The 24288-nt window shown below is 42.8% G+C and overlaps 1 protein-coding gene and 1 pseudogene across 3 annotated transcripts in view; one reads left to right on the top strand and one right to left on the bottom strand.

Moving 5' to 3' along the window:
* ABCG2 (ATP binding cassette subfamily G member 2 (JR blood group)) overlaps positions 3402 to 24288 on the top strand; it is a 141363-nt gene continuing 120476 nt past the window's right edge. The window contains exons 1-2 of one of the 3 annotated variants that reach the window (NM_001348985.1): positions 3402 to 4034; positions 23225 to 23362. The gene's annotated coding sequence lies outside the window, so the exon portion shown is untranslated. The remainder of the gene's footprint in view (positions 4035 to 23224; positions 23363 to 24288) is intronic. The other 2 variants (XM_011532420.4, NM_001257386.2) reach the window with 2 other exon arrangements.
* RNU6-1298P (RNA, U6 small nuclear 1298, pseudogene) lies at positions 8201 to 8301 on the bottom strand (annotated as a pseudogene).

Genomic DNA, 24288 nt, shown 5'->3' with positions numbered 1-24288 from the left:
CCAAAGAAATCAAAGATCTCTACAGCGAAAACCATAAAATATTGATGCAAGAAATTGAAAAGGATACAAAAAAGGGAAAGATATTCCATGTTCATGGATTCAAAGAATCATTATGGTTAAAATGTCCATACTACCCAAAGCAATCTACAGATTCAATGCAATCCCTATCAAAATACCAAGACATTCTTCATAGAAATAGAAAAAAAAAGAATCCTAAAATTTATATAGACCCACAAAAGACCCAGAATATCCAAAGCTATCCTAAGCAAAAAGAACAAAACTGGAGGAATCACACTGACTTCAAATTATACTACAGAGCTATAGTAACCAAAACATCATGATACTGGCATAAAAACAGAAAAACAGACACATAGACCAGTGGAACAGAATAGAGAACCCAGAAACAAATCCATACACCTATGGTGCACTCATTTTTGATAAAGGTGCCAAGAAGATACAGAGGGTAATGGACAGTCTCTTCAATAAATGGTGTGGGGAAAACTGGATATCTGTATGCAGAAGAATGAAACTAGACCCCTATCTCTTACCATATACAAAAATCAAATCAAAATGGATTAAAGACCTCAAACTATGAATCTATCTAAAGAAAACTTTGAGGAAACTCTCCAGGACATTGGACTGGGCAAAGATTTCTTGAATAATACCCCAGAAGCACAGGCAACCAAAGCAAAAATGGACAGATGGGACCATATCAAATTTAAAAGCTTCTGTACAGCAAAGGAAACAATCCACAAAGTGAAGAGACGACCCACAGAATGGGAGAAAATATCTGTAAACTCTCCATTTGACATGGAATAAATAACCAGAATATACAAGGAGCTCAAACAACTCTATAGGAAAAATATCTAATAGCCTAAGTATAAAATGGGTGAAAGATTTGAATAGACATTTCTCAAAAGAAGATGTACAAATGGCAAACAGGTATATGAAAAGGCTCTCAATATCACTGATCATCAGAGAAATGCAAATCAAAACTACAATGAGATATCATCTCACCCCAGTTAAACTGGCTTTTATCTAAAAGACAGTCAATAATAAATGCTGGTGAGGATAGAGAAAAGAAAGCCCTCATACACTGTTGGTGGGAACATAAATTAGTACATCCACTATGGAGAACAGTTTGGAGGTTTTTCAAAAAACTAAAAGTAGAGATACCATATGATCCAGCAATCCCACTCCTAGGTATAAATCTAAAAGAAAAGAAATCCGTATATTGAAGAGATATCTGCATTGCTATGTTTGTTGCAGCTGTATTCACAATAGCCAATATTTGGAAGCAACCCAAGTATCCATCAACAGACAAATGGATAAAGAAAATGTGGTACATATACACAGTGGAGTGCTATTTAGCCATGAAAAAGAATGGGATCTGGCCAGGTGCAGTGGCTCATGCCTGTAATCCCAGCACTTTGGGGGCCGATGTGGGCAGATCACGAATTCAGGAGATTGAGACCATCCTGGCTAACGCAGTGAAACCCCGTCTCTACTAAAAATACCCACATGGTGGCGGGTGCCTGTAGTCCCAGCTACTTGGGAGGCTGAGGCAGGAGAATGGCATGAACTCGGAAGGTGGAGCTTGCAGTGAGCTGAGCTTGCACCACTGCACTCCAGCCTGGGTGACAGAGCGAGACTGTCTCAAAAAAAAGAAGAATGAGATCCTATCATTTGCAACAATACAGATGGAACTGAAGGTAATTATGTTAAGTGAAACAAGCCAAGCACAGAGACACAAACGTAACATGTTCTTACTTATTTGTGGGAGCTAAAAATTAAAACAATTGAACTCATAGAGATAGAGAGTGGAAGAATGGTTACCAGAGGCTGGGAAAAGTATTGGGGAGGTGGGGGGAAGTGGGATGGTTCATGGGTACAAAAAATAATTAGAAAAAATAATTAAGACCTAGTATTTGCTAGCACGACAATGTGACTGTAGTCAAAAATAATTTAATTGTCCACTTAAAAATAACAAAAACACATTAGTCACATGTGGTGGCACACACCTGTAATCCCAGCTACTTGGGAGGCTGAGGCAGGAGGATTGCTTGAACCCTGGAGGTGGAGGTTGCAGTGAGCTGAGATCATACTGCTGCACTCCAGCCTGGGCATTAGAGTGAGACCCCATCTCAAAAAAAATAAATAAATAAATAAATAAAATGAAAAAAGTATAATTGGATTGCTTATAATACAAAGGATAAATGTTTGAGGTGGTGGATACCCCATTTACCCTGATGAGATTACCACACATTGTGTGCCTGTATGAAAATATCTCATGTACCCCATAAATATATACACCTACTATGTACCTACAAGAAATAAAAATTTAAAATTAAACAGAAAAAAAAAATCCCTGACGGAGTTATTGCTTAATGATTACAGAGTATCTGTTTGGGGTGACAAAAAAGTCTTAGAAACAGTGACGGTGACACAACATTGTGAATGTAATTAATGCTACTGACTTGAACTCTTAAAATGTTTCAAATGGCTAATTTTATGTTATACATATTTTACCATATTAAAATAAATTTATAAAAATAGATAAATGGAATTTCTTAACAACTTCAAGATTTTTTAAACGTTCATTTCATTTCAATAAATATTTACAAAATGCCTAATTTGTCCTAGGTACTGCACAACACAGTGAATAATCAGGATAGTGACTTAAATATAAACAGAACTTAACAGCAAGACAAATTCAGTAATCGGTATTTTGTGAATCTCATGAAATTTATCATGACAACTCTGTAAGGAAGGTATTATTGTTATCACTATTTTATTGTTGGGGAAGGCTTGGCTTAAGAAGCTTTTCAAGGCCAGTAAACAGTGGAATTAGAAGCACTTAGTAAATGTCATATTTTTTCTTTTGACATCTATCATGTTTTCAGAATATGAAATGCCTATTTAACTCCAGCCTGGGTGACAAAGTGAGATCTTGCCTAAGAAAAAAAAAAAAAAAAGCCAGGTTTGGTGGTTCATGCCTGTGATCCCAACACTTTGGGAGGCTGAGGTGGGAGGATTGCTGGAGGCCAGGAGTTCGAGACCACCCTGGCCAATATAACAAGACCCCGTCTCTATTTAAAATACACACACACACACACACACACACACACACACAGAGAGAGAGAGAGAGAGAGAGAAATGCCTATTTAGCACAGTCTTGACTTCCTATTTTACTTTTGGTTTAGGAAAGAATAACATGAAAAGTATAGCATGCTCCAAGTATACAGCTTCTCGGTCCTCTTTAGATTTCTGGTGGGCCTTTGCATTGAAACCTAACTCTTTGTTTTGGTTTAATTCGCTTCCTTTTCAAATTATGTCATAGTCCTGCTTGGTTGTTTTTTTGTGTGTGCTAGAAGGCAGGGCCTGTGAGAGGAGACCCTCAGTTACATCAGGGTTAAAAAAGCACAGGAAGTTTACGCACAGAGCAAAGCCATTTGCTAGAATTGGTTTTTATCCTTCCATTTCGAAAATAAAGTTGCTGTTTGTGTTGGAGATGCTGTCATCAGAATTCCGCGGCACAAAGAGAAAGATACAAAAATATCTCTCTGACATGTAACTTTCCCCCTTCTTCTAGCCCCTTGCTAGGAATGCCAGAAGAGGATCCCACGCTGACTGGAACCATTAGGTCTTTTGTTTGAATCCCAGTGATCGAGAAAGAAATGTGGTTCATAATCAGCTAGTAGTGGAGAAAAAAGGAACCCAAGGAGATAGGAGAGCTGTTAATTTCACTCGGGACATTTCCTCGAGGCTAGTTTACTCGGAAAGCCTCAATGTTCCCTGGTAGCTGCAGGATCTACTTTGGGGGCTGCCAAGTTTCCTCTCTCATTCTTTCTCCTGCCCCAAGAGCAGGCAGGAAGGAAAGTTCCTGGACTGATACTCGTCTGTTTAGTAGGCGTGGGTCCTGGTTGAAGTCTGTCTAGGAAAACTCCTAAGTGTAGAAATCTTCTTCGTATTACCACTGTCTCTGCACTGAGATTTGGGCTGCTTTGCTTCCAGCGTCACACATCATAACTGAGGTGAGTTGTTTGTTTTTGTTTTTTCCAATCTTCATACTTCGTAGAAAATCTTGATTCTTTTTTGATATGTGCTTTAACAAATGTGTCACTTAAATTGGTACTTCTCATACACTAACTTGCATATGTATCACCTGGAGATCTTGCTGAAACGCAGGCTCTGCAGAACTCAGGGGGCCTGGGGTGGGCCTCTGATTCTGCACATCTCAGCTGACCTCTATGGACCACACTTTGAGTAAAAAGGGCTCAAACTCTGTCAGTTTTTTGCATTTTTGGAAGGGGTTGGGCATTGTAGGCAGGATAAGGGTATTTGGCTGAACACATGATTTATGTTGAGCACCTGAGAAGACAATCAGACAACATCCTTTTCCTGGCTGTACCTACTTTGATGGCTATCTCTGTGCTTTGGGGTTTCTGTTAAGCAGATCCTAGGTGTGGTAAGCCAGATTACCCCTAAGTGAGAGAGGATGTTGGGCTTCTCCTTAGATTATATAGGCCACTTGGAGCAGAGCCAGAAATCCTTTTGTAATTTTTGTATTAACTGCCTATATCATGCCTCATCTGGTGTGGCTGGTGGTCACTTTGAACATTTCAGCTTAAATTGAAAATATGGCCGGGTGCGGCGACAGTGCGAGACTCCGTCTCAAAAAATATATATATATATATATATATGTGGCCAAAAAAAAAAATATATATATATATATAACAGGTGCGGTGTAATCATGCCTGTAATCCCAGCATTTTGGGAGACCGAGGCAAGTGGATCATCTGAGGTCAGGAGTTCGAGACAAGCCTGGCCAACATGGTGAAACCCTGTCTTTACTAAAAATACAACAATTAGCTGGGCGTGGTGTCACACGCCTGTAATCCCAGCTACTTGGAAGGCTGAGGCAGGAGAATCGCTTAAACCCAGGAGGCAGCATTTGCAGTGAGCTAAGACCGCGCCATTGTACTCCAGCCTGGGTGACAAGAGCGAAACTCTGTCTCTAATAATAATAATAATAATAATAATAATAATGCATGCCAGAAAAAATAGCTGATTTCTTTCTCCTATCATTCAGAATTGAAGATTATAAGGCATATGAATCTATTACATTGTTGAAAATCAGTTTGCATAGGGAATAGAATGTATTTTATCCTCCTGTAACAGGCCTGGTAGTGTTCTTTAAATGCAGTATGTTCCTTGTCCCAAACAATTTACAGTTATCTGAAAGTTGCATTTAACCCAAAAGAAACAAGCCAAGAGGAAAAAAGAGAATGGCGAGGAAATATACCTATTGTGTCCCCAGTTGAGGGGAGAAGAAAGCAATGGGAAAAAAGTGGGGAGAAAAGGAGAATGGTGGCCAGGAGTTGACAGGAGACACAGCTTCACAAAATGAATAAAAGGAACCCTATCCTGGAAATAGAATCTTTCCCACACATGCATGGGCGTTCTCCTAGAGTAGAAGCTTGTATCTTTCTTAGTTGGAAAAATGTGACAGAGACAGAGTAGGTAGGTTGTAAATTTTGTTCTATTTTTTTATAGAAACGGGATCTCATTATGTTGCCCAGGCTGGTCTCGAATTCCTGGGCTCATGCGATCCTCCCATCTCGGCCTCCTAAAGTGCTGGGATTACAGGTGTGAGCCACTGTGTCCAGCCAATTTTGTTGTTCTAGTGAAGATGCTGAAGCCATTTGTCATAAATCAAGGAAGGGCTATACAAGTGATAGTCAGAGGAGTGTGCAGGCCTGGTGAGGCCTGGTATGAACACATGGAACTGTGTCCAGAGTTGGTTCTTTCCGGTGGGTTCTTGGTCTCGCTGACTTCAAGAATGAAGCTGCAAACCTTCGCAGCAAGTGTTATGGCTCACAAAGGTAGTGCGGACCCAAAGAGTGAGCAGCAGCAAGATTTATTATGAAGAGCGAAAGAACAAAGCTTTCACAGTGTGGAAGGGGACCCAAGCGGTTGCCACTGCTTGCTTGGGTGGCCAGCTTTTATTCCCTTATTTGGCCCTGCCCATGTCCTGCTGATTGGTCCCTTTTACAGAGTGCTGATTGGTCCATTTTTACAGAATGCTGATTGGTGCATTTACAATCCTTTAGCTAGACAGAGTGCTGATTGGTGCATTTTACAGAGTGCTGATTGGTGCATTTACAATCCTTTAGCTAGACACAGAGCGCTGATTGGTGCGTTTACAATCCTTTAGCTAGACACAGAGTGCTGATTGGTGTGTTTTTACAGAGTGCTGATTGGTGCATTTACAATCCTTTAGCTAGACACAGAGTGCTGATTGGTGCGTTTACAATCCTCTAGCTAGACAGAAAAGTTCTCCAAGTCCCCACTTGACCCAGGAAGTCCAGCTGGCTTCACCTTTCAGAACCACTGCCAGACAGACAGGAATCGCTTCTGTTTGAACTAAGTTTCAAATAACATTCCCTTCTACTATGGTCTGTAATCAGAGGTTATGAAAAACCATAACCCTTGTAGCATAAGCACTGACTGATCAGAATACAACACAGTTGTAATCAGCCCACCCAACAGCGGATGGCAGGTAGGCAGTAAGCATGTGTGGGGCTGAGTATCAGCCTAAGCTATCCCGGGTCTGAATTAGACTTTTTGGGGGTAGATTGTAAGGCTGCAGATGACTTTAGAGACATACATTCTGGTTTCTACCATCATCTGCCAACTCTCTGGACCCATTTTCTCGGATGAGGCCATTTCCCTCTCTCTCAAGCCTGGAGTAATCCCTCAGTCCGGCTGTCTACTCCTGCAGCTGATACTGTAGAAAATAGAGTTCCCCTAGGGAACTACAAGACTCAAAATCCCATCTGCTTCCTGAACAGGAGAAGGGAAAGTGCATATATCATTTTGTGAAGTGTTACAGCAGAAAATGAAACCTGATTACCACATTATCCAACTGTACAAAGCACTGTCCCATACATTATCCCCTTGATTTTTCACAACCTTCCTGGAGTATATGGGTCAAGGAGATTGTAATTTCAACCTCTGAATGGAGAAATGAAGGTCCCAGTGAAGCAATTTGCCAAAGGCACACAGCTGGTCTGTGGGTGTGCTGGGATTCAAACTCAACGCTGGTTTGCTCTTAGTTCAGGTGCATCCTGTGCTTTTCTGGCCTCGGCATCTTCTCAAGACTTCTGATGACCTCTTGGTCTGTACAAAGGTTTGTTAACCTTTATGTCATAATTTGCAATCTTTGCATTAAAAATAATCCTATTTCTACTTTGTTTTGGTCAAAATTACTCATGTGTTTGTCTTAAGCTTTGTCTCCATTAAGGTCTTTACGCCCCAGGAAAAAAATATTTGACAGTAATGCTTCTCAAACTTTCTCAGGCTTAGATGTCACCTAGGGAGCTTGCTAAAACGCAAATCCTTGGGCTCCAACTCCAGAGATTCTGCTTCCCTAGGTCAGGCCCCAGGCGTGGGAATTGGCATTCTAATAAGCTCCCAGGTGATTTTAGTGCCACCACTCAGAGATCACACCTTCAAACAAAAGTCACAGCTCCAGTCAATATTTTAAAAGAATACATTTATGGTTTAGCGAGGGGGTATTAGTGTACTTTTGTATATGTATATTATTTATTTATTTTATTTATTTATTTTGAGACAGAGTTTCGCTCTTGTTGGCCAGCTGGAGTACAATGGCGCGATCTCGGCTCACTGCAGCCTCCATCTCCTGGGTTCAAGCAGTTCTCCTGTCTTAGCCTCCCTAGTACTGGAATTACAGGTGCCTGCCACCAGGCCTGGATTATTTTTGTATTTTTAGTAGAGACAGGGTTTCACCATGTTGGTCAGGCAGGCTGGTCTCGAACTGCTGACCTCAGGTGATCCATCTGCCTCATCCTCCCAAAGTGCTGAGATTACAGAAGTGATATTTGTTTTTATTTTTTAGTTTTTTTTAGACAGGGTATTGCTGTATCACCCAGGCGGGAGTGCAGTGGCATGAACAAGGCTCACTACAGCCTCTACCTCAAGGCTTCCATATCAACCTCCCGAGTAGCTGGGACCACAGGCACGCACCACCACACACAGCGAATTTTTAAATTTTTTGTGGAGGCTGGGTCTTGGTACGTTGCCCAAGCTGGCCTCAAACTCCTGGGCTCAAATGATTCTCCCACCTCAGTCTCCCAGAGTGCTGGGATTACAGGCTTGAGCCATGGCTTTTCTTTTTAAATATAAAATGCTTCACGAATTTGCGTGTCATCCTTGCCCAGGGGCCAAGCTAATCTTTGTATCATTCCAATTTTAGTATATTTGCTGCTAAAAGGAACATGTCAGGGTACTGAATAATAGATTATCATGCCAGAATTCCTTGGTTTGAATATTAATGCTATCACATGTGCAAGCTATGAGATCCTGGGAAAGTTAGTCTTCTTATGCCTCAGTTGCCTAATCTATAAAATGAGAATAATAATACTACCTACCTCATAGTGTAGTTGTGAGGATTAAATGAGTTAGCAGTGCAGGACACAGAGTATCTCTGTGAGTTTGCTATGATTATCACTAAGTCTTGCTCAATAATTATACTTTACAATAGAAACACCAACAACAAGATTCACACCAATAGCAAATGTTCTTTTCGGTTGTAGGTGTTGCCCCAGGTTTAGTCATGGTCAAACATGTTCTTGTGTGTGTGAATGTGAGGGACTAATTGTCCTGGGCTGTCAGCTAGCATGGTTATGTAGGGCTTTCCACATCATTATGACAGATTTGGACTTGACTCTGACAGTGATGAAAAGCCATCAACACAGCTTCAAGCTGGGAAGTGCAATCAGAATTGCATTTTAGAAATGTCTCTTGCTGTAGCATAGATGCCAGGTAGGAAGAAAGTGAGGCTGGAGGCAGAAACCTGTTTGAATAGACTGTTGCAATAGTCCCAGAGAGAAATAATAAGACTTAAACTAAGTGATATGGTTTGGCTGTGTCCCCACCCAGATCTCTTTTTGAATTGTAGCTCCCATAATCCCATGTGTTGTGGGAGGGACCCGGTGGGAGATAATTGAATCATGGGGGCAGTTTCCCCTATACTGTTCTCCTGGTAGTGAACAAGTCTCACAAGATCTGATGGTTTTATAAGGGGAAACCCCTTTCACTTGCCTCTCATTTTCTGTCTTCCCTGTCACCATGTAAGATGTGCCTTTTGCCCTCCACCATCATTGTGAAAGGCATGTGGATTCCCCAGCCATGTGGAACTGTGAGTCCATTAAACCTCTTTTTCTTGATAAATTACCCAGTCTTGGGTATGTCTTTATCAGCAGTGTGGGAATGGACTAATACACTAAGGCAGTAGGGAAAAGCACTGAGCAGAGATCCCATCAGGAGCCTGTCATGACTCATATGATACCATATTAAAATGCTCAGCTTATGCTTCCTGTCTACATCAAAGCCCTGTGAGAACTAAGATACAGTCTACCTCCTATGGAGCCCCAGCCCCAGCTCATAGTAGGTCCTTGATAGCTATTTGGTGAATAAATGGGTAAAGAATAGATGAAATCCTGCTGTGGTCTCCAAGGCTCTGTGATCTGGCCCTTGCCCCTTTCTCCAACCTCATCATGCTTCACTCTCACCATTGTTCTTATCACATTGCCTTCCTCCAAGCCTTTGAAAATGCCAAACTGTGACTTCTAGTGTAGGGGTTGGCAAACTACTGCCTTTGTGACAAATCCTTCCTGCTTATTTTTATAAATAAGTTTTATTGGAACACAGCCATACCCTCTTGTTTATGCATTGTCGACAACTGCTTTAGTGCTATAACGGCAGAGTAGAGGAGTCATGACACAGCCCATACAATACAGCCTGTGAAGCCCAAAATATTCACTATCTGGCCCTTTACAAAAAAAAGTTTACCAACCCCTGCTGTAACTCTTTGAACTTGCTGTGACCTCTGATTTAAAACTCTACCCTCAATGAAGTTACAGTAATCAAAACAGTGTGGTCCTAACATAAAGACAGACATCCAGATCAATGGAATAGAATAGAAAGCCCTGAAATAAACCCTCACACACGGCCAAGTGGTTTTTGACAAAGGTGCCAAGACCATTCAATGGGAAAAGGACAGTCTTTTCAATAAATGGTGCTGGGGAAACTGGATAGCCACATGCAAAAGAATAACATTGGACCCTTACCTTACACCCTATACAAAAATTATCAAAGACACAAAGAGCTAAAACTGCAAAACTCTTAGAAGATAACGTAGGGGAACGCTTCATGACGTTGGCTGTGGCAGTGATTTCTTGGGTATGACACCAAAAGCACAGGCAACAAAATAAAAATTAGATAAATTGGACTTCATCAAAATTAAAAAAAATTTAAAACTTTTATGCATCAAAGGAGGACACTTTTGGCCCAGTGTGGTGGTGCGCACCTATAGTCCCAGCTATTCTAGAGGCTGAAGCAGGAGGATTGCTTGAGCCCAGGAAGTCGAGGTTGCAGTGAGTCATGATCACGCCACTGCATTCCAGCCTGGGCAACAGAGAGAGACCCTGTTTCAAAAAAAAACAAACAAAAAAGAGGACACTTTTTACTTGTCTTTTATCTTCTGCTTTTTGTTTTTTGTTTTTGAGACAGGGTCTTACTCCCATTGCCCAGGCTGGGGTGCAGTGACACCATCTCGGCTCATTTCAGCCTCAACTTCCCCAGCTCAGGTGATCCTCCCACTTTAGCCTCCCTAGGAGCTGGGACTACAGGCACCCACCACCACACCCAGATAATTTTTTGTATTTTTTAGTAGAGAAGGGGTTTTGCTCTGTTGCCCAGGCTGAGCTCAAGTGATCCACCTGCCTTGGCTTCCCAAAGTGCTAGGATTACAGGCGTGAGCCACTGTGCCCAGTCTAGACACTTTCAAGAGAGTTAAAAGACAACCCACAGAATGGGAGAAAATTACATATTTGATAATGGCTTCATATCCAGAATATATAAAGAACTCCTACAGCTTAACAACAAAAAAATGATTAAAAAGTAGGCAAATAATTTGAATAGACATTTCTTCAAAGAAAATATATAAATGGCTAATAAGCACATGAAAAGATGCTCACCATCACTAGTCACTAGGGAAATACAGGTCAACCCATAATGAGATACCACTTTACCCCAATAAGGATGGCCATTATTTGAAAAAAAAAAAAAATGCCTTTCTGGTAGTTCTGACCTCCCCATGTGAACATACCTCCTACAAAAAAATCTCCTTCATCCCTCTCCAGATGAGGAAAAGAGGAAATACAAGAAGTGCCTGGTACAGAGCTCCAGTTCCTACTTCAGGGATGTGAAATGCCCAGGATGCTGTAATCATCATGATCATTAATCATGCACACACAGTAGTGGTGTGTGTTCGCTGCTTGTATTAGTCCATTCTCACACTGCTATGAAGAAATACCTGAGACTGGGTAATTTATAAAAGAAAGAGGTTTAATTGACTCACAGTTCCACAGGGCTGGGGAGCCCTCAGTAAACTTACAATCATGGCAGAAGGGGAAGCAAACACATCCTTCTTCACATGGCAGCAGCAAGAAGTGCAGAGTGAGGGGGTGGAAAGGCCCTTATAAAACCATCAGATCTCATGAGAACTCACTGTCACGAGAACAGCATGAAGGTAACTGCCCTCATGATTCAATTACCTCCCACTGGGTCCCTCCTGTGACATGTGGGGATTATGGGAACTATAATTCAAGATAAGATTTAGGTGGGGATACAGCCAAACCATATGATTCCTCACCTGACCCTCCCAAATCTCATGTCCTCACATTTTAAAACACAATCATGCCCTTCCAACAGTCCCCCAAAGTCTTAACTCATTCCAGCATTAACCCAAAAGTCCAAGTCCTAAGTCTTATCTGAGAAAAGGCAAGTCCCTTCCACCTATGAGCCTGTAAAATCAAAAGCAAATTAGCTGCTTCCTATATACAATGGGGGTAATGGCATTGGGCAAATACACCCATTCCAAATGGGACAAATTGGCCACAATGAAGGGGCTATAGGCCCATGCAAGTCTGAAATCCAACTGGGCAGTCATTAAACCTTAACATTCCAAAATGATCTCCTTTGACTTCATGTCTCATATCCAAGTCACCCTGATGGAAGAGGTAGGTTCCCATGGCCTTGGGCAGCTCTTCCTCTGTGGCCTTTCAAGGTATAGCCCCCTCTTCCAGCTGCTTTCGTGGCTGGTGTTGAGTGTCTGCAGCTTTTCCGGGTGCATGGGGCAAGCTGTTGGTGGATCTACCATTCTGGGGTCTGGAGGATGGTGGCCTACTTCTCATAGCTCCACTAGGCGGTGCCCCACTGGGGACTCTGTGTGGGGGCTCCAACCCCACATTTCCCTTCCATGCTGCCTGTATTAGTCCATTTTCACACTGCTGATAAAGACATACCCGAAACTGGGCAATTTACAAAGGCAAGAGGTTCAATGGCAAACTCACAGTTCCACATGGGTGGGGGAGCCTCAATCATGGCAGAAGGCCAGGAGTAGCAAGTCACATCTTATGTGGATGGTGGCAGGCAAAGAGAGAGCTTGTGCAGGGAAACTTCTATTTTTTTTAAACCCTCAAATCTCATGAGACTCATTCACTATCACGAGAACAGCGGCCCACGATTCAGTGACCTCCCACCAGGTCCCTCCCACAACATGTGGGAATTCAAGATGAGATTTGGGTGGGGACACAGCCAAACCATATCACTGCCCTAGCAGAGGTTCTCCATGAAGGCTCTGTCCCAGAAGCAGACTTCTGTCTGGACATCCAGGCATTTCCATACTTCCATACATTTCCTCCAAAATGTAGGCGGAGGTTCCCAGACTCAATTCTTGACTTCTGCACACCTGCAGGCCCAACACCATATGGAAGCTGCCAAGGCTTTGGGGCTTACACCCACTGAGGCAATGGCCTGAGCTATACGTTGGCCCCTTTAGCCACAGATGGAGTGGCTGGGATGCAGGGCACCAAGTCCCAAGGTTGCACATAGCAAGAGGGCCCTGGACCTAGCCCAGGAAACCACTTTTCCCTCCTAGTCTTCAGGGACTGTGATGGGTTGGGCTGCTGTGAAGGTCTCCGACATGTCCTAGAGACATTTTCTCCATTGTCTTGGTGATTAACATTCAGCTCCTTGTTACTTATGCAAATTTCTTCAGTGTGCTTGAATTTCTCCCCAGAATAAGGGTTTTCTTTTCTATTGCATCATCAGGCTGCAAGTTTTCCAAACTTTTATGCTCTGCTTCCTCTTGAATGCTTTGCTGCTTAAAAATTTCTTCCACCAGATACCCTAAATCATCCCTCTCAAGTTCAAAGTTCCACAGATCTCTAGGGCAGGGACAAAATGCCACCAGTCTTGTTGCATAGCAAGAGTGACCTTTACTCCAGTTCCCAAGAAGTTCCTCATCTCCATCTGAGACCACCTCAGCCTGCACTTTATTGTCCATATCACCATCAGCATTTTGGTCAAAACCATTTAAAAAGTCTCCAGGAAGTTCCAAACTTTCCCACATCCTCCTGTCTTCTAAGCCGTCCAAATCTCTAGGAAATTCCAAACTTTCCCACATTTTCCTGTCTTCTTCTGAGCCCTCCAAACTGTTCCAGTCTCTGCCTGTTACCCAGTTCCAAAGTCGTTTCTACATTTTTGGGTATCCTTATAGCAGCAACCCACTCTCTGCGGTACCAATTTACTGTATTAGTCCGTTCTCATGCTGCTATGAAAAAATACCCGAGACTGAGTAGTTTATTTTTATTTTATTTATGTATTTATTTTGAGACACAGTTTCATTCTTGCCTAGGCCGGAGTGCAGTGGCATGATCTCAGCTCACTACAACCTCTGCCTCCCAGGTTCAAGCGATTCTTGTACCTCAGCCTCCCTAGTAGCTGGGATTACAGGTCCACACTAACACACCTGTCTAATTTTTGTATTATTAGTAGAGATGGAGTTTCACCATGTTGGCCAATCTGATCTTGAACTCCTGACCTCAAGTGATCCGCCCACCTTGGCCTCCCAAAGTGCTTGGATTACAGGCTTGAGCCACTGTACCCAGCCAGAGACTGGGTAATTTATAAACGGAAGAGGTTTAATGGACTCACAGTTCTACAGGGCTGGAGAAGCCTCAGGAAGCTTACAATCATGGCAGAAGGGGAAGCAAACATGTCCTTCTTCACATGGTATCAGGAAGGAGAAGTGCTGAGCAAAGAGGGGTGGGAAAGTGCCTTATAAAACCATCAGATCTCATGAGAACTTACCATCACAAGAACAGCATGAGGGTAACCACCCGCATGATTCAATTACCTCCCACCAGGTCCTTCCCATGACACATGGGGATTATGGAAACTACAATTCAAGATGAGATTTGGGTAGGGACATAGCCAAACCATATCACTGGTCTACCGTTCTCTGTCAGTCTACAGGAGGCAAAGCAAGGCTGACAGAAGGATGCTCCTTCAGGAGGAAGCAGCAGTAAAAGCACTTTGAATCAAGATAAATGGGAAGCCACCCCAATAAACACATTTTAGATATTTTAGAAAAAGAAAGAAATACACACACAAATTGAAAATAACAATTGTTGGCAAGAATGTGGAGAGATTGGAACTCTTGTGCACTGTTGGTGGAATGTAAAATGGTGTAGCTACTGTGGAGAACAGTATGGTGCTTCCTCAAAAAACTAACCATAGAATTACCATACAATCCCACAATTCCACTTCTAGATATATACCCAAAAGAACTGAAAGCAGAGGCTCAGACAGATGTTTATACACAGCAGCATTATTTACAACAGCCAAAAGTGGAAGCAACCCTAATGTTCATCAACTGTTGAATGAATAAACAAAATGTGGTATACACAGAGAATGGAGGATTATGCAGCCTCAAAAGGGATGAAAATTCTGACTGCAGCATGAATGAACCTTGAAGACATTATGCTAAGAGAAATAAGGACAAATACTACATGATTCCACTTATATTAGGTAGTGAGGGTAGTCAAATTCATAGAGACAGAAAGTAGAATGGTTGCCACTGAGGACAGGGTGGAGTGAAGAGTTGTTTAATGGGCAAGAAGTTTCAGTTTGGAAGATGAAAGAAGTTCTAGAGATGGATGGTAGTGATGGTTGCACAGCAATGAATATACTTAATGCCATAAAACAGTACACTTAAAAACTATTTGAGCCTGTAATCCCAGCACTTTGGGAGGCCGAGGCGGGTGGATCACGAGGTCAGGAGATCGAGACCATCCTGGCTAACATGGTGAAACCCCATCTCTACTAAAAATACAAAAAAAAAAAAAAATAGCCAGGCGTGGCACTGTGCGCCTGTAGTCCCAGCTGCTGGGGAGGCTGAGACAGGAGAATGGCGTGAACCTGGGAGGCGGAGCTTGCAGTGAGCGGAGATCGCGCCATTGCACTCCAGCCTGGGTGACAGAGCAAGACTCGGTCTCAAAAAAAAAAAAAAAAAAAAAAATTTGAATGGTACATTTTTATATTATGAATATTTTACCACAGTAGAAGAAAATAAAACAACTCTACCCTCAGGTATTTGCATGTCTGCCTCCTACTTATTCTTCACTTTTCTGCTGAAATAGCATGTCCTCAGGGAAGCCTCTCCTATTGCTCTATGTAATTTCCTTGTAGAACATATCACTGTCTGAAATTACCTTTTTTATACGTGCTATCATCTGTCTTCTCCATTGGAATATAAGCTTTTCGAGCATAAGATCTTTGCTTTATTCAAAGCTGTATCCTAACACTTCGTTTTTGTCACATGGTAGCTATTCAGTGAATACTTGCGGAACAGTGTACTGAGAAAAAAGAAAGGGCTCCACCTGGAGGTTGTGTTAGTAAATGTACTTTGTGGGAATTTTAAATGTACAATACTCAAAAGTAAAAATCAAACTGAACATTTAACTTCAAAGCAGTATTAGCCGTGATAGTGGAGTGAGAAGTCATGAAGAAAAGTGTACAAGCACCTCTGTGTAAAATATTTCCCTTTTCACATCAACTCCCTGCTTAGGTTCCCAATTCCCAGGACCTCAGCAGTTCCCGTATTTCCTTTCTATGTATCGCCTGTTCATTTACCTACCGTCAATGGCTGCTTTGGTGCTACAATGCCAATATAGAGTGATTGGAAAAAGACTGCATGGCCCACAAGCCTAAAATATTCACTATCTGGCCTTTTACAGAAAAAGTTTACCAACCAACCAATGATGTAGGTAAAGATAATAGACTAGAGATATTGTCTACTCTTCTCTGAGAACTTTCATGATAGTCATTCAAGTCAATCAAGAAATGTTTATTGGGATTGGAGACTATTATTCTAAGTAACTCAGGAATGGAAAACTGAACATTGCATGTGCGTACGTTCTCACTCATAAGTAGGGGCTAAGCTATCAGTATGCAAAGGCTTAACAGTGGACTTTGGGGACTCAGGGGAAAGGGTGGGAAGGGGGTGAGGGATAAAAGATTGCAAATTGGGTTCAGTGTGTACTGCTTCGGTGATGGGTACACCAAAACTTCACAAATCACCACCAAAGTACTTACTCATGTAACCAAATACCACCTGTTCCCCAAATCTTAGGGAAATAAAAAATTAATTAAAAAACAAGAGAAATGTTTACTGAGTTCCTACTATGTTTCCAGCACTGCGTTAGTCACTAGGGATAGAACAGTGAATGAAATAGAAATACCTGCTGTTATGAAGCTCACTTTCTAGACGGAGGAGGACAAATAATAAACAATAAACAAATAAATAATGTATGTTAGACGGTGAGAAGGGTTACAGACAGATGCATAGTAAGAAGTAATCAGGAAGGCAAAGAAAGGTTTTGCAATTTTAAACAGAGTGGTTGGGGTAGGCCTTGTTAAGAGGTTGACATTTGAGCAAATATTTGAAGAAAGACTGAGAGGGAATGAAGATATCATCTGGGAGGAAAGTATTTCAGGTAGAGGGAACGGAGGCAGGAACATGTCTAGCGTGCTAGAGAAACACCTGGGAGACCAGTGAGGATAGCAGAAACATTCTACCTGGGTTCTCACACTCGTGTGTTCCTTTTTTTTTTTTTTTTTTTAATTTTTAGAAACATCGTCTTACTCTGTCAACCAGTCTGGAGTGCAGTGGCATGATCATAGCTCACTGCAGCCTCAAACACCGGGGCTCAAGCAGTCCTTCCACTTCAGTCTCCTAAGTAGTTGGGACTACAGGAACATGCTACTGTGCACTGCTAATATTTTATTTTTAGAGTCTGGGTCTATGTTGCCCAGGGTAGCCTTGAACTCCTGGCTTCAAGAGACCCCGCTGCCTCACCTTCCCAGAGTGCTGGGATTACAGGCATGAGCCACCATGTTTAGTCCCATGCATCCATGCATTCTTTTTTTTTTTTGAGGCAGGGTCTCATTCTGTTGCCCAGGCTGGAGTGCTGTGGCGTGATCTTGGCTCACTGCAACCTCCACCTACTGGGTTCAAGCAATTCTCCCTCCTGAGCCTCCTGAGTAGCTGGGACTATAGGCACACACCACCACACCTGGCTAATTTTTGTAATTTTTAGTAGAGACAGGGTTTCGCCATATTGGCCAGGCTGGTCTTGAACACCTGACCTCAAGTGATCTGCTCACCTCGGCCTCACAAAGTGCTGAGATTATAGACATGAGCCACCGCGCCTGGCCTCCATGCATTCTTGTTATGTGCAAATATTGACTGCTGGTTTAAGGTATCTTCCCCTTCCTGTAGGACAACATCCCAACCTTGCAGGGTATCCCTGCTCACACTATAATTAAGCCTTAGGCAGGCCAATTCACTGTTCTATCAAGCCAGCTGCTCTGTAAGATCTAGGTATATACTGAATTTTGAGAATATGAGACTTCTTTTACCATAATATATGCCCATGATCATGGACGATATTATATGGAATACTAAGGCAACAGATAAGGCATTCTGTAACTTCATAACAGTGGTATTAGTAGAAGCTCTGCAGGCAGGGAATAAAATGTAAAAAAAAAATTTTTTTTTTTTTTGAGACGGAGTCTTGCTCTGTCACCCAGGCTAGAGTGCAGTGGCATGATCTTGGCTCACTGCAACCTCCACCTCCCGGGTTCAAGTGATTCTCCTGCCTCAGCCTCCCGAGTAGCTGGGATTACAGGTGCCCACCACCACGCCCAGCTAATTTTTGTATTTTTAGTAGAGAGGGGGGTTTCGCCATTTTGGTCAGGCTGGTCTTGAACTCCTGACCTCAGGTGATCTGCCCTCCTCGGCCTCCCAAAGTGCTGGAATTACAGGTGTGAACCACTGCGCTTGGACACAGTGCAAAATTTTATCCAGAATATGTAGCTATTCCTGAGAAGATAAAAGGCTGTTCCTTTCATGTTGGGAAAAGTTCACACAATCAGCTACTACTAGGTGGCCATCTGGTCACCCCGGACAATAGTGCCTTATCAGCGGCTTAGTGTTGACTTTGGCTGTTGGTCAACGGGACATTCAGCAGTAGGTATAGTTACAGCAGCCTTGGTGAGGGAAAACCATGTTATTAGCTCACACGTAGCTTCCTTCCATGCTGGCACAGTTTGCACACGGAGCCACTGAACAAGCACTGGGATACCTGGAGAAAGAGGCTTACTGACATTCACAAAATAGATCATCTTGATCATTTGATTTTTGAGAACCTCCACCATCGTGATACAATCTACTGGATGTACACGCGGCACAAAAATATTCCCACCCTCTGTGTCCATTCCAAAAGGTCCATGCATAGTCCATCTAATCACCAATTTTTCAATTAGTTGTTTTCAAGTCTCCAGCCAGCCAGCCAATCCAGTAGCCACGGCTCATAAGTCACTAGAGATCTTTGTGCCTTAAGCATGAAGTAAACAGCCAGATATATCGCTCAAGGTTCTGTCCACTGGGAGGATTTCCCTTCAGCACAGTCTTTAACAGTCACACCTAAGTGGGTTTAACAGTCTCGCCTAAGTGTAGTCGTCCCCTTCTTGTCAGTGTCAGCATCATTTTGAGATCCATAATGTGCAAGCTAGCCCCCATAACAAAGAAATACCCTGCCCAAAATGTCAGTGGGGCCAAGGTTGAGAGAAACACTGGTTTGAAGGAAGATTCATGATATTCATCAGTGGATGGAAGAGCTTTCAGTCTCCTAACTGACATAGGTCTGGGAATTAGGTACAACGCACAATTTGGCAACTCGAGTTAGGTTTCTGCCTAACGGACCTAGATTTTTTTCTGCCTAGATGTCAAGCAGCATCTTAGGAAGCAGCGAATTAATGATTTTTCAGGACCCCATCATCCATTAGCCCTTGCCAGGGGGCACAGCAGATCAAAGCAGTTCGATTACTATTCCATCTCTGTGGTTTACTGTGGTAGTTGCACCATGTTGTCCCTAACAGTGAAGTTACTACTTGGCCTTTGACATGCCAGGACCCCATTATTCCCACTGAAATGAAAGCACACATTTTCACTGCAGCCTTGTCCAGCAACAGCTGTGACCTACAGTGCTCCTTGAGGATGCTAGTCCCTGACTCACTAGTGCATTTCCTTATGTCTTAGTGAAAGGAGAGTTTTTTGAATCCTCCCAAAAGAGTCAAGTTAGTAAATGGCTGAGAAGATTGAACATAATGGACCGAGTCCTATTTCCTTGAATTTTGTAACTCTTTGTCTATAATATGTTAGGAAATTTCTGGCATTTCAACCTCATTAACTCCAAACTATCATTGAGTCCAGGATTTCATTGGCTAACTTTTTCAGACTGTTAGGACCATCCCCAGTACTCCAGCCAACATGCTATATTCTAAATCCTGGGGGAGTACACTCAGGTCAATTAATTTGGCTTGAATATTATACTTTATCCCCATTGGTCTAACACCCTTATAATTTACACTCTCAGCTCTTCCCCAGTCTTCTTCTGATTCTGGCAAAGTCATGCAACTCTCTTTTTTTTCCAAAATTTTTTTAAGACTGTCTCATTCTGTCACCCAGGCTGGAGTGCAGTGACATAATTATGGCTCACTGAAACCTCAACGTCCTGGGCTCAAGTGATCCTCCTGCCTCAGCCTCCCATATAGCTGGGACTACAGGTGTGCACCATGTTGCATGGCTAATAATTTTTTAAATTTTTGTAGGCCAGACATTGTGGCTCTCGCCTATAATCCCAACACTTTGGGAGGCCAAGGCAGGAGAATCACTTGAGCCCAGGAGTTGAGTTCAGTCTAGGCAACATAGCAAGACCTAATCTCTACAAAAACAAACAAGCAAACAAACAAAAACAGATTTGAGTGCGGTGGCATGTACCTCTGGTCCAGCTACTTGGGAGGCTGAGATGGGAGAATCGTTACAAAAAAACTTTTTTTTGTAGAGATGGGATCTTTGTTGCCCAAGCTGGTCTTGAACTCCTGGGCTCAAGTGATCCTCCTGCCTCAGCCTACGGAAGTGCCAGGATTACAGGCAGGACCCACCACACCTGGCTCAACTCTCTTAGTATATAGATTCTGTCTTCTCCTAGAGAAGACCTGCACTGCTCTCTCTGGCATATTGTTCCAGTTATCTATCCCTACCTAACAAACCACTCTAAAACTTAAAGGCTTAAAACAATTTGTCATGTGTCTCATCGTTCTGATTGGAGTGGATTTGAGAGAGAATGGGGGAGGGATTGGAGAAGTGAGTATCTTTTGAAGAGTTTTGTTGTAAAAGAGAACAAAACGATAGAGCAGTAGTTGGAAGATGTGGAATCAAGAGGAATATTTTTGAGGATGGGGGAAATAGATAACAGTGGGCTAGTGGTGGTAATCCCAGCACTTTGGGAAGCTGAGGCGGGTACACTGCTGGAGCCCGAGTTTGAGACCAGCCTGGGCAACATAGCAAGACCTTGTCTCTACAAAAAATACAGAAATTAGCCAGGCATGGTTGTATGCGCCTGTAGTCCCACTTACTTAGGAGGCTGAGGTAGGAGGACCACTTGAGCCCAGGAGTTCAAGGCTTCAGTAAGCTATGATTGCACCACTGCACTCTAACCTGGGCGACAGAATGAGACTCTGTCTCAAAAAAAAAAAAAAAAAAAAAAAGGCCGGGCGTGGTGGCTCATGGCTGTAATCCCAGCACTTTGGGAGGCTGAAGTGGGCACAGATCACAAGGTCAGGAGATCAAGACCATCCTTGCCAACATGGTGAAACCCCATCTCTACTAAAATACAAAAAATTAGCTGGGCACGGTGGCAGGTGCCTATAGTCCCAGCTACTCCGGAGGCTGAGGCAGGGGAATCGCTTGAATCCGGGAGGCGGAGGTTGAAGTGAGCCAAGATCGCACCACTGCACTCTAGCCTGGAGACAGAGCAAGACTCTGTCTCAAAAACAAACAAAAAGAAATATAGCATGTTTATACTGTGGGGAAACAAATCAGTGGAGAGGAATATATATATATATTCACACACATATATATACATATATATACAATGATATAGAAGAGAAAGGGGAAAAGTGCTGTTATTGAGTTAGGAAAAAGGGGATGAGACTTCATGCAAAGTAGAGACATTGCCTTAGGCCTTAGTAACATGGGCAGTTCCTCTAGGGTAGGGTAATAGGAGAGAAGGCAGCAGATGCAGGTGGGTGGGCAGATACGGTGAACAGAATCTGAAGTTCTCTTTTACTTACTTCAGTTTTCTCAGTCAAGTAGGACATAAGGTTATCATCTGAGAATGACTATGGGAGGGGAAAGATGAAAATGTTTCGGTGTTGAAATAGGAAACAGAAGAGTGAATGGGCTAGGGAAGTACAGTATGAGTTGTCAGGCATTACTGAGGGTCCCGGCATTGAGATTCTTGATCAAGAATTTAAAATCAGATAATTACAGGTCTTTGTGGCTCAAGCCAGTAATCCCAACAGTTTGAAAGGCTAAAGTGGGAAGATTGCTTGAGCGCAGGAGTTTGAGACCAGCCTGGGCAATACAGTGAGACCCCGTCCCTACAAAGAATTTTTAAAAATTAGCTGGGTGCGGTGGCATTCATTGGTAGTCCCAGCTACTCAGGAGGCTGAGGTGGGAAGATCATTTGGGCCCCAGAGTTCAAAGGCTGAAGTGGGCTAAGATCTCGCCACTGCACTCTCCAGCCTGGGTAACAGGGCAAAACCCTGTCTCAAAAAAAATAAAAATTCAAACACAAAATCAAATAATTTATTATTCTTATGTGTTTTTCTCCACCCACGTTCAACTGCAGGGGTACAGGCACAGAGCAGGGGAGACAGGAATTTAAGTAGGGTTTGTGGTTTTGCCAAGCGAGTGACAAAGCAAAAGGGGAGCAGAGGAGCTGAGGGCATTTGCAAGGATGTAATTATAATGATCATGGAATTTCGGCAGGTATGGTGACTAAAGAAAGCAGTGAGGGGTGAGGCACAGTGAAATACTGGTGTAATTAATGGGTTTTAGGCCCTGGTGGAGCAAGGTCAAAGGTTTGCCGGAGTTGGGTTATTAGAGGGGTTTAGGTGGAAAGATAGACTATGCTTACAAGTTCTATGGCATGACCTGCAAGTACATAGGTAACGCAGGGTGGAGAACAAGATCACTGAAGGAGAGAAGTTCAAGGTAGTCAGAGGCCAGAGTGCTGGGGAGATCGTTTTCGGAGATACTGAATTCACCAAGAATTAAGACAGAAGTAGTGTCACAGAGAGTGACAGTACCAGGGGCTACAATTACTGATACAGGCGGGAGATGCTTCTGAAATCTGAAGATGGCAGCAACCATGCAGGGGTAGTCAGTGTTAAAGTGTAATGACATGAAATTCAAAGCTGAGATCTTCTGGGGAAAGTTATTAGATGATCCACTTTGGGATGTTCATATTTTTTGGTAGTCGCTCATCTCAGAATAAGCAATATCAGAAAGTGAAATTTTAATCACAAGAGGGCGCCAGAGTCCAGCAAATGATTACTTTTGGTTTTCACCTAAAGCTAGGGCAATCATACTTTTGAGAGAGGAAGAGGCCACTACTAATAATTATTTGGGGGCGGTATGTGTAAATTGGGACATAGACTCACACCTTCTCCTACACTATGTAAGCATGGGCAATTTAAGAATGAACTAGCTGTGCACCAAAAGCTCTAATTCCCATAAATCACTCGAAATGCTTTTGACTGCAATCAGGTAAGACAAAAATGGCCAAACTTGATTTTATCTGGAAGAGAGGCTTGAGAAAGACTTTCCCCTCTGGCCCACATCTCTAGTTCTATTTATTGCTTATCCCGTTTTTCCCTTTAGTGCAGTACCGGTTTGACTGTATCTTCAAGTTAAGAGAATTGCTGTATTCCCCAAAATATCTTGGTCATTTGAAAGTAAAGAGTTCTCGGCCGGGCACAGTGGCTCACGCCTGTAATCCCAGCACTTCAGAAGGCAAAGGTAAGCGGATCACGTGGTCAGGAGATCGAGCCCATCCTGGCTAACACAGTGAAACCCCGTCTCTACTTAAAATACAAAAAAATTACCCAGGTGTGGTGGTGTACTCCGGTAGTCCCAGCTACTCAGGTGTCTGAGGCAGAAGAATCACTTGAACCTGGGAGGCGGAGGTTGCAGTGAGCGGAGATCGCGCCATTGCACTCCAGCCTGGACAACAGAGTGAGACTCCATCTCAAAAAGAAAATTAAAACGAAAACATGATGATGGAAATAACAGACACTGGGGTCTCCAAAAGTGGGGGGGGGTGGGGCAGGGGTTGAACAATTACCTATCAGGTACAATGTTCACTATTTGGACATTGGGTACACTAGAAGCTCAGTCCCCACCAGTATGCAATCTGCTTATGTAACAAACAAGCACGTGCAACCCTGAATCTAAAATAAAATAATTTTTAAAATACACAATGAAAGTGGCTTTTGTTAAGTCCCCTGTTTAGCACATCCTCTCCTTAATTAGCCAAACTACTCTCTCTTCTTCTTTTACATATATATATATATTTTTTTTATTTTTTAATTTTTTTAGGGACCAAGCCTCTCTGTGTTGCCCAAGCTAGAGTGCAGTGGTTAATCCCTGGTGCAGTCACAGGGCACTACAGCCTCGAGTTCCTGGCCCCAAGAAATCCTCTCACCTCATTCTCCTGAGTAGCTGGGAATACAGGGGCAGAACATGGCATCTGCGCCTCTTCTTAACAAATGCAAATAAAATCAACTCTGGCTTCTGTTATTCCTTGAAAAAAATGTATGTATGGGTCAGGTGTGGTGGCTTATGCCTGTCATTCCAGCATTTTGGGAAGAAGCTAGGAGTTCGAGACCAGTGTGGGCAACAAAGCAAGACTGTCTCTATAAAATATTAGCCAGTTAATGGTGGCA

The sequence above is a fragment of the Homo sapiens genome, chromosome 4 (assembly GCF_000001405.40).
Source record: "Homo sapiens chromosome 4, GRCh38.p14 Primary Assembly".
Classification (NCBI taxonomy): Eukaryota; Metazoa; Chordata; class Mammalia; order Primates; family Hominidae; genus Homo; species Homo sapiens.
This window is presented reverse-complemented; position numbering and strand designations above follow the sequence as displayed.